The 12236-nt window shown below is 30.5% G+C and overlaps 1 non-coding gene across 1 annotated transcript; it reads right to left on the bottom strand.

The window, feature by feature from the left end:
- Nucleotides 1-7255: 7255 nt before the first annotated feature.
- Nucleotides 7256-7364, bottom strand: MIR6130 (microRNA 6130). The gene has a single exon (NR_106746.1). It is a non-coding gene; the product is annotated as a microRNA 6130 (primary transcript).
- Nucleotides 7365-12236: the final 4872 nt, after the last annotated feature.

The following is a 12236-nucleotide window of genomic DNA, read 5'->3' as shown; positions in this document are numbered from 1 at the left end:
TGAAATATTATAATTAGTTGATTATTGTGTTTGATGCATAAAACATAACATTCATTTACAACCTACCTGGTTTGATTGAACAATATAATTATTCTGAGTCACAGTATGTAGTTGAATAAAGACAATTATGTCTAAAATATTAATATAAATCACTTAAAAGTACACAGGATACTTCTTTAAAATGTCTTAAAATTAACAACAGGAGCACAGTTCTCTATATAAATATTGAATATTGTAGACCTTCCAATAAGTGCAATTCCCAAATTAAATAAGCAGGATACAGTAGTATTAAAAACAATATATATACATACTTTTGAGAATGATATGAAATTACATCATGAACTCCCTTGATAATATTAATTTATGTTAATCAGAAAGATACCCAACAAAATCTTCTTTCCTATACAACCTGGTTAGAGTTGACCAGAAGAGAAATTTTGCACAAGATTTGGAAGGCAAAGTGAAGCATGAACCATCACATATAAAGGTGTTATGATTATATGAAATTTTAATATACAGGACATGTTGTACAGGACCCAAACCATAACATTTTGAGACACCTCTTCTACCATAAATTATTTGCCTTTCCAGTGGATAAAAACGTATACATTAGCCTTTACCCCTACAGCTCAACAAATAGAAAATCTAGCTAGGTATTATCTTGAAACAAAATAATGACCTCCTTGCTTATTTCCCTGAAACAAATTCTAAATCAGTTTCTGAATACTATTACCTCAGTTTTTTTGCCAATTGTTGGTGTAGAATCCTCTAGAATTTCTAATTCTACGAATAAATTCCTCTTCTTTCTCTCTCTCTCTTCCTAATTCTCTGATAAATTTTATCAACATGATCACTCACCTCACTAAGAAATCTACTTTCTTTTACTTCCCAACAACATCACGTTGATTTCTTCCCAGCTTTCTCTCTTATTTTGCTTAAAAAACATCCTCTAAAGTCCACTAAAAATAAAAACTTTGTAAATTTTCTAAGTGCTTATTTTAATTTGAAATTTGATTCTTTTGCTGTCATATTTGTGATAGTTTTATTACACATGCAATTCTAAATGTATTTTCTGCAATATATTTAGAACATTATTTTGTTTCTTCATTCAGCACTACTCTACTATAGTTATTTGTCATAATTATTCATTTTCAGGTAATAGATGTTTATCCTTCTGAACACTTTTAACATTTTCCCTTTGTCATTAATGTTTTAGAACTATGATGTAGTTCCTTGTGGAATTGTGATAATTGCACATGCCAGAGAAAATTTAAAAAATAGAAGCAGGAGAGGAATATTTGCAGAAATAATTTTTATGATTCCACAAACTAAACCATGATGCAAGAACTCAAATGAGAAGTTGTCGGAGAGAGCCAAAGCAACTCATTTATTATTTAGATAAGAGAACACAAACACACAGCAACACACACTCTCACACTTACACAGAAGTCCACCTTTTGTCATCAAGTATTTCTCTCCGTTTTGAAAAAATATCCTGCCTTCAATTAAACTAGTTGATTCATTAATATTTCTGGTGATAACAGAAGGATATAGAAACATGGCCCTACCCTTTCAATGCACTTTCACACTGCTTTCTTCTGTCAGTGATGTCCTTGGAATAAATTGGTTGGGTATATGTTGTTTTTTTTTGTTTTGTTTTTAGTATTCAATGATATTACATTAATGAAAACATTCAGTGATGACATGAGTTGATTCATATCAGAGGTAAAAGTGGTTGGTCTTTTATAACTTGAGAGGATTCCAATTTCAGTCAGTCTCCTGGGTTTAATATTTGACAAGTTAAATTTAACAAATCACTTCTTTTCCCAGTAATACCTATATCTAGAGCTGTATAAATCATATGTTCTACTCTCCTACCCTGGGGAAATAATTGAGGTGAAGGCCACTGGGCTGAACCTGATTTAAACGGAGGAATAAGCACATATCAGTTTAATAATGGCAGAAAGATTATTCTCATTGCACTAATTCCAAAAAGTCTCAAGTTGCCTTGTCATATTTCTCTAGAATTATGAAAAATCTCACTGCTATACTGAGTTAAAGTCCCACTATTGTATCCTCTTATCCTTTCGCTCATCAACATCTCATTTCTTCAACACTTGGCTCCTTCTAAATCCACAAACTCCTCTAACTCCAAGTTAATATAGCTTTATATTTTCTCTTCCTCTCCCTCCTCTGGGAACTTTATTGTATGACTAAATTTGATTTTTTTAAATTAAATGCTTCTTTTCATTTTCCAGATTTTAAGTTTCATTCTTCTCCTATATTTGCCAATCTTTTTTTATGGAAGCTCCAAAGTTGCAGTGTGATAATTGAACATCTCTTACAAAACTATGATTGAGAGGTATTGTGGCAAGAAACTTCTTGAGCAGGAGGTAGATTTATACTATATACCAAATATGACTGAATGTAACTACATTAAGTAAATATAGAATCACACATATATTTTAAATGGGATACAACATTTTTACTCTGTTGTAAGTATTTATGGTTTTTTCTAATTTAATTATTAGCATTTGTTACACTTGTATTATAATCTTCAAAGAGGAAGACCTGCAATATATCATTATATCTGTAATTAATTTAATTCAACATTATATCTATAATTTCATTTTATTTTGATTCTACATTTTACTGAGCGTGCTCTTGCAATAAGAAAAGAAAACAGCTAATTAGATACCAAAATAAGAGAAAAAAATGTATTAGATTCTTGACTGGTTGCTTAGATTTAATTCCATGTATACACTAAAAAAAACTATTAGAAAATTGATTAAGCATCATATTAAGCTCTATCCTTGAATACATTTTGGATAATTCCTTTAAATAATCAATATTATAAAATATAAATCAGGAAAGGTTAGATCTTTTGGTATAGTTCAAAGACAAAAGGAGAATTTGTAGAAAGAAACAAATTTAAATACAGAGTAAAATAAAAACAACGCCACAAAAAGTCTGCAAACAAAAGCATATTTAATATGCCGTTATCAAACATTATTTTTCTGTGTAAATAGGTTTGACAGATTAGAACCAGAACTGATTGGAAGCCATATTTATGGCTCTATAGTCCTTGATATTATGAATACATTGCTCCTGACCTGAGAATATGAGGATAGAGTCTTTCTTCTAAGAGACTTTGCCTGCAGTAAGGCTAATCAGAATTTCAAAACTTTGAAATTTTTGTCATATAAGCATTTAACTGAGATGAATGCTTTTCTCCTAAGAATTTTTCACTGGGAGAAATCACGGTGTGAGATGTCTAGATATACAAATTTTAATATTCAGTGGGAAAACATAAAACATTGTCTTAAAACAAAGAAAAGAAGGAAAAACAATTCTCATCATGCTCTCAATTAAAAGTCTATAGTCCATCGGCAAATGAAGCCTAAGCCTCAGCCAAAGTAAGTTACTAGTATGTCAATGGTGAATACAAATGACCACGAAGATTGTAATTTTACACCCCAGAAAACATTTAAATGCACATCAAATGAAAAAGTCACTTGATATTTTAAAAACAATTCCCTGAACTTTCAGACCTACTCAGGTTTATGAAGACAGATTACATTAAAAAAAAAAAAACTTTAAATAAGCTCAATTTACAGAGAGAGACAGAGAGAGGGGGAAAAAGAGGGGTGGGAAGAGAGAAATAGAGAGAAATAAAGAAAGGAAAAGAAAGGAACGAAGAGCGGAGGAAGGAAAGAAGGAAGGAGAGAGAGAGAAAAAAAGAAAGAAAGAGAAAAGAAAGAGAGAAAGAAAAGAAAGAAGAAAGATCAAATTTTCAAATTTACAGAGAGTAAGTAAATTTCTTAAGGAAACAAAGAAACTGATTTTTGGTGTAGGTAAAATGTGAAAGATAGCAGTTGTCAAAATGCCTGCATAAAAACGGCACCAAAAGGAGAATGAGCAGTTATATGGTTTTCCTGTTTTAACCAAAGAACACTTAAAGGAATGATTCCACACATGTTAACATATGCTTTCTGTTAAAGTGAACGAAGTATGGCCTGAGAAAGACTCCATACTTTTATCTCTGAGTCCTTGTGGATACTTAATAGGTAGGCAAGATTGAAAACCTAACTTAGGAGTATGTGCCTGTAATAATAGCAGAGTCTTAGCCAATGCCAGCAGCCATACTTCAACTGATCATAGACTGTTGAGTGTTCAAACTGTGTTCAAACAAGGCAAATGCCAACATATAACCATCTAGCTGTTTCTGTGCCTCACTTCTGATTTCTGTATGTCACTTCCTTTTTTAGTCTACAAACTTGTTCTGCCTGATTTGCGAATGGTTCATTGCTCAATTAAACTCCTTTAAATTTAATTTGGCTGAAGTTTTTCTTCTCTTTGCTTTTTTCTTTTGTCTTTTTTTTTTCCTTTTTGAGATGGAGTCTCACTCTGTCTTAAATTTAAAGGAGTTTAAAAAACTAGAAATCAATAATGAGGGGAATTTCAGAAACTTCACAAATATATAGAAATGAAATGATGTAATCCTGAATAACCACTATATTACTGAAGAAATTAAAAGGAAAATTCAAAAAATGTTTGGAAACAAAATGTAAATACAACATATCAAAACCTACGGAATATGGCAAAAACAGTCCTAAGAGGGAAATTCATAGCAATACATTCCAGCAACCAAAAAGAAAAAAAAGATCTTGAATAAACAAGCATTGCATCTCAGAGAACTGAAAAAACAAGAACAAACTATACCTCAAATTAATAGAAGAAAGGAAATGGTAAGAGTCAGAAAGAAAGAAAGAAAATGGGCTAGAAATATGATACAAAATATCAACAAAATGAAGAGTTAGTATTTAAAAAGATAAACAAAATTAATAAACTTTTAGCTAAAGAAAAACAGAGAAAACTCTAATAAATAAAATAACAGAAGAAAATAATACATTACAATTGATACCAAAGGAATAGAAATGATTATGAGACTATCATGAACAAATTATACACCAACAAATGAATTACCTAAAAAAATGGATAAATTCCTTGAAACATGTAACCTACCAAAATTCAATTAGGAAGAAACAGAAAATCTGAACAGACCAGTAACAAGTAGGGAAATTTAATAAGTAGTTAAAAAACTCCCATACAAAAAACAAACAAGCAAACAAACAAAAAAAACGCAAAAAAACTAATAGTGTTATCTTCATTGCTGAATTATACCAAATATTTTTAAAAACAATTAATACTATTTTTTCTCAAACTATTCCAAAAAATTTAAGAGGATTAAATACTTTCAAACTCATTCTATGATTCCAGAATTACCCTAATACCAAAACCAGACAAGGAACACAGCCACAACAGTAAAGACTGCAAGCTAATATTCCTGCTGAACATGAATAATACAAGCATATTCAACCAAATACTAGCAAACCCAATTCAACAGCAAATTAAAACATTCATTCACCATGATCAAGTAAGATTCATCCCAGGGATGCAAGGATAGTTCAACATATGCAAATCAATAAGCATAATACACCACATTAATAGAATGAAGGACAAAATTCACATCTCAGAGAACCAAAAAAAAAAACAAGAACAAATTATATCCCGAATTACTAGAAGAAAGGAAATAATAAAGATCAGAATGAAATAAATAAAATAGGCTAGAAATATGATTTATACATACAGAAAAACATTTTATACATACAGAAAAACATTTTACAAAATTTAACATCCCTTCATGAAAATAAAAGAAACTCTCAACAATTAGTTACAGAAGAAATGTACCTCAACACAATAAAACCCATATATGACAAACTTAGAAATAACACCATACGGAACAGAGAAAAGTTGAAAGCTTTTCCTCTAAAATCTAGCACAAGACAAGGATGTCCACTTTCATCACTTCTATTCAACATAGTACTAGAAGTCCTAGCCAGAGCAATTAGACAGAAGAAAGAAATAAAAGGGATTGAAAGAGAAATTAAAAAGGTAAATTATCTGTTTGCAGATGACATGATGTTACATATAAAAAACTCTATGGATTACACCAGAAAACAGTTAGAATTAATATATAAATCCAGTAAAGTTGCAAGATACAAAATCAACACACAAAAAATCAGTTACATTTCTATATACTAATAGTAAACTATCTGAAAAAAAGAATTCAAGAAGACAATTTCATTTACAACAGCTATTTAGAAAAAAAACCCTAGAAAAAACTTTAACCAAGGAGGTGAAGGATCTTACACTGAAAACTATAAATCATTGATTAAATAAATTGAAGAAAACATAAATATATAGATTTTTCATTTTCATTAAATAGAAGAATGAACATTGTTAAAGTGTACCCAAAGTGATCTACAGATTTAATGCAATGCTCATGAAAACACCAATGGCATTCTTCACATAAATTGAAAAAAAAATCCTAAAATTAGTATCAAATCACAAAAGAACCCCAAATAGCCAAAGCTGAAATCATAACAGTACCTGACTTTAAAATTATCTATAAAGATATAGTAACCAAAACATTATGGTAGTAGCATAAAAGCAGACACATAGACCAATGGAACAGAACAGAGAGCCCAAAAATAAATATGTGCATTTATAGCCAACTGATTTTCAATAAATCTGGCAAGAACACCCAATGAGAAAAAGATAGCCTCCTCAAAAAATGGTGCTGTGAAAACTGGATATTCACATGCAGAAGAATAAACAAGACTCTCTATGTCTCACCATATTCAAAAATCAACTGAAAATGGATTACATATTTAAATGTAAGATCCCAAACTGTGAAAGCTACTAGGGAAAAGCTCCACGACATTCGTGTGGGCTGGTCAAGGATTTTCTATTTAAAACCTCAAAAGTAAAAATTAGACAAATTATACTATTTAAAGTGAAAAAAGCTTCTGTACAGCAGTGAAGAGGCAATCTACAAAATGGAAAAAAATTTGCAAAATATACATCTGATAAGGAGTTAATATTCAAAATATATAAGGAACTTAATAGCAAGAAAACAAATAACCCTTTTAAAAATGGCTAAAAGACTTGAATAGATACGTTTCAAATGAAAACATACAAATGGCCAACCTGTATATTAAAATATGCTCAACATCATAATCATTAGGATATGGAAAATCAAAACCAAAATGAAATATTACCTAATTTCTACTAGGATTACTATTATCAAAAAGGCAGAAGATAAATATTGTAAATAATGTGCCAAAATTGTCACTGTTAGTGGGAATATAAATTAGTGCTATTAGGGAAAACAGCATGGAGTTTCCTCAGAAAATGTAAAAATAGAACTACCATACAATCCACTCCCTCAGTACTGCATATAAATCCAAGGAAAATTACATCAGTATATAGAAGGGATGCCTGCATTTCCACATTCATTGCAGCATTATTCACAATAACCAAGACATGAAATCAACCTAAGTGTCTATTAGCAGAAGAATCACTAAAGAAAATGTGGTATATTTACATAATGGAAGAGTATTCGGTCACAAACAGGAACAAAATCCCACCATTTGTGACAACATCAATGAACCTGGATGATTTCATGCTAAGAGAAATAAGCCAGGACAGAAATACCACATGATCTCACATATGTGGAATCTAAAAAGTGGAACTCGTAGAAGCAGAGAGTTGAGTAGTGGTTACCAGAGGCTGAGCTAAGTAGGAGGAGAGGGATTGGGTGATCCTGGTCAAAGGATATACAATTAAAGTTAGATATAATAATTGTTTAAATGTTTAGATATGCAAACATATAGAGAAAAAATGTAGACAAGTGATTGTATAAGGCCAGGAAGGTTGGGGAGAGGAGAACTGGCGGTGGAGGAGTTAGAGAAATAAGGAATAACCATTATTGGTTATGGAGTTTCTTTTGGGGCTAATGAAAATGTTCTAAACTTGATTGTGATGATGGAGGCACAACTCTGAGAACACTTCATTGTATTGCACATCCTAAGTGGGTGAAGAGTATATGCATTATATCTCAATAAAGCTCTAAAATAAAAATTATGGGTTTATTCTGCTACTTCTAATATCCATCTAAACTTATGCCATTACATACATGTATTCTCCATTTCCCACAGTGAGAATTCTCAAATATATTAATATACTTACCCTTTGTTTAATATATTTTCAAAAGTGTTATACCAACTGCACTATGAACAACAAACCTATGAAGTTGGGTTCAAAATATCTTTCTTTTTAAGAGGCAGGCCCCTATTTGTTTTGATAATTATTACTCAATATTGTATATATTAAATTATCACACTGAGTAATCAGAATATATATGATCTTTATTGGTTAATTAAATATATTTAAAGAAAATATCAAAATTTATTTCTTTAATTTTGTGTGGATACATATTAGGTATATATATTTATGGGGTATATGAGATGTTTTGATATAGGCATGCTATGTGAAATAAGCACATCATAGAGAATGAGAGAATGGGGTATCCATTCCCTCAAGCATTTATACTTTGAATTACAAATAATCCAATTACATTATTTAAGTTATTTAAAAATATACAATTAAGTTATTATTGATGATAGTCACCTTATTGTGCTATCAAATGGTAGATCTTATTCATTCTTTTTTATTTCTTATTTTTTGCACCCATTAACCATCTTCATCTCCCCTCCCAATCTTCCACTACCCTTCCCAGCCTCTGGTAACCATCCTCTCTCTGTGTCCATTAGTTCAATTGTTCTGATTTTTAGATCCCACAAATAAATGAGAACATGCATTGTTTGTCTTTCTGTGCCTATTTCACTTACATTATGATCTCCAGTTCCATCCATGTTGTTGCAAATGACTGGATCTCATTCTTTTTTTATGGCTGAGTGGTACTCCATTGTGGATGTTTACATTTTCTTTATCCATTCACCTGTTTATGGACACCTAGAGTGCTTCCAAATCTTACCTACTGTAAACAGTGGTGCAACAAACATATGAGAGCAAACAAATTTCCTTTTCAAAATATCTAAGTTTCTTTTTGTCTTTGGATTCAAATACATGTCAAAGTTACTTGTATTATTTTTTTCTTCAATGTATTTATGTTATCAATTTAATATATTTTGTTTTTGCATTGTTTCGAATTTTCTTTTTCATTTCTTAACATTTATATCTACTGAAATATATAAATTGGTAACATAATTTCAAAATTAAAAACCCTTTCCCATTATTTCTTACATTTATCAATCATTCTCTTTAGGTAACCAGATTTATAACATTTGCTTTATCATTTCTTTGCTTATTTTTGCCAAGGTATTTACTATAAATGGCAACACACTATTTACACTACTTTACACTTTCCTCTTTGTTACTTAACAATATATATCCTTGCTATCATTCCTTAGCAGTTGATAGAGACATTTTTCCTTTTTTTAAATCTCTGCATTGTAAAAAATTGTGTGGCTATACCTTAGTTTATTTAGCTATTTTTATGTGTGAGCATTAAGATTACTTCCAATAGTGTGACCTTATAGTTGATGCTACAATTAATAACTGTGATTATTTTCATATTGTTTTAGGTGTGTAATTTCAAGGAATTTCTTAGTAGTGGGCTTACTGCATCAGTTTCTCTGCTTAGTGCCATATTTCCAGCCATAGAAATTCTACCATTCCTCCTTCCCTTTGGCCATATATGAGTGGCTATTTGGCATGGTTTTACCAGCACAGTATTCTATCAAAATTTTGAATTTTTGTAATTTTAATAGGTGAGAAAAATGTTTCAATCTAGGTTTAACTTGTAAATCTCTTATTGCATGAAACTGGACGTCTTGCACATGTGTAAGGCAATGTTTATATTACTTTAATATTATCTGTTCATACCTTTTGCATATTTTTTCTCCTGGATTTTCATTCCGTTTTTCCAGTAATTTTTAAAAGCTACTTAGAAATGCAATCCTCAAAAAATTAAAAATAAAACTATCATAAAATCTACTAATTCTGCTACTGGGTGGGAGGTGATTAAATAACAATGTTATTTAATGGCATAAATCCTTTATGATATACTTTTTTTCAGTTTCTCATTTTACTCTTGAAGTTACTTAGGATTTTGTTATTTTGCATGTAAAAGTTTTTGGCAATATTACTGAATTAATCAAATTTATCTTTTCTGCACCCAGTTTTTGAAGCATAGTTTAATATTATTATACCCAGAGTATGAAGGAATTCACTTAAGTATTTTCCAGTATTTTATTATTTCATTTTTTTATGTTTATATGGCTGATCATTTTGACATTCACTCTTGTGTTTGGAATGTGTTATGGATCTAATTTTATTGTACTGCTAATGGCTATCCTTTTGTGTCAATGCTGTTTATTAAGATATCAATAAATAGCACTACCTTTTCATGCATTAAATTTTCGTATTTGATTGGGCCTACTTTAACTCTTTCCACTTTTTCCCACTAAACTTCCTGTCAACTCAAGGAACAAATTATTTTACTTAGAGAATTTCTATAATAGCACTAGTCCTCCTTCCCAGTTCTACAATTTCATGAGGATCTTAGCATTCTCTCCAGTCATTAATCCATAAAATTTTCATAAAGCATAGAAACATTTACTAGTTCCAGAAATTTAAGCTTGATAGCATTTTTGTGTCTCTGAGAATGAGTTCTTATAAATAATTGAATGTCTCAGATACTTAGCATTTACCTCCTCAATAAAGTATAAAAACATTTTATTCTTTTAAGAATTATAACAAACACAAAAGTGTCTGACTAAGATATGTATTTAAATATTTCAACATATTATAGAAAGCTTGACTTATCAATGTATGAACATATTTTTAAAACAGTGTTAGGGCCATGTGTTTTAAAGTTAACATATCTGTTTCTGGTCAGTGGATTATTAAAGAATTAGAACTATGCAAACTGACAGAAGTGAAAGATAATATATTTCAGAAAACTAAGTGTAGCATACAAGTCAGGTGATTGAAATTATTCATTATATCATAGATGGCTCATAGCCAATTAACCTTTCAAACTAAATAGTATTATTCAAAGATAGATGATGACAAGCAAAATGATAATTATAAACTCGGGTTTTTACTGGAACTCTCTAATGAAAATGTAAAAAATTATTAATAGAAAATAGTTTAGATGTGCTCTTGTTTGAAGGCATATTGATTTTCTCATATGTGAAGAGCACACCATAATGGTTCTATCCAAGGTCTACATTTTATTATTAAGAAAAATGAAATTGAACAAAAGTAATTTTAAACATTGACACTTTAATTTTCATTAAATAAGGTCTACCTTTTTATCATGTAGTGTACTGAATTCTACTTAGGGTTTCTTTTATTTTGCTACTATTAATGAAAAATTAAAATTTTATATCTAAATTCTTTAGATTGTTTCTTTTTTATCTTTGTTGTTTTCTCCTGGAATAACTAATGTTCATATTTGCTAGTTAAGACCTTATAGTAAACCCTAACTGAGAAAAACACAGCTCTAATTTTAAAGGAATTAAAATATATCTAACAGTACAAAGCTCCTTCCCTGACAGAGGATAAACAAAGGGCACTCTACGTTGATGATTGACTGAGCAATGCATGAAGGGCATTTTGAGAAGTAAAGGAATCTTCATCATAAGACAGAGGAAGTGTTTTTTTTTGTTGTTAATAATCTTTATAGCTACACATCATTTAAGTGTATGATTCAATATTAGCACCCAAGTAATGTTATCTCGAAAGGTTTCCACCTGCCAAATAAAGTCAGTCCCTCCATCCTAGGCCCAAGCAATAACTCCTTTGCTTTTTGTTCTTTGGTCTCCAATGTAAGGGGTTCTTTGGTCTAGTTTTGGTCTTTTCAAATTTCATATAAATAATGTTTGGCTTATTTCATTCAACATATGCTACTAAAATTAATCCATACTGTTAAGTGCAACAGTTATTTCTTCTTTTTATCGTAGAGTAGGATTTAATTGTATTACTATATTACAACTTTATTTTATTTTATGTATTTCTTTATTTTTGAGACAGAGTCTTGCTTTGTTGTCAGGCTGGAGTACAGTGGTGCAATCATTGCTTACTGCAGTCTTAATCCTCTAAGCTCAAGCAATCCTCCCACCTCAGCCTTCAAAGTAGTTGGGACGACAGGCATGCATTACCACACACAGCTACCATTTTGTGTTTTGTAGAAACGAGGTCCTGCCATGTTCCCCAGGCTGGTTTCAAACTCCTGAAAACAATCCTCCCGTCTTTGCCTCCAAGTCCCAATTGATTTAATAATTTAATTAATTAATAATAAT

The sequence above is a fragment of the Homo sapiens genome, chromosome 21, assembly GCF_000001405.40.
Source record: "Homo sapiens chromosome 21, GRCh38.p14 Primary Assembly".
Classification (NCBI taxonomy): Eukaryota; Metazoa; Chordata; class Mammalia; order Primates; family Hominidae; genus Homo; species Homo sapiens.
Note: the sequence above shows the minus strand (reverse complement) of the source record. Positions and strands in the feature narration are given on the sequence as shown.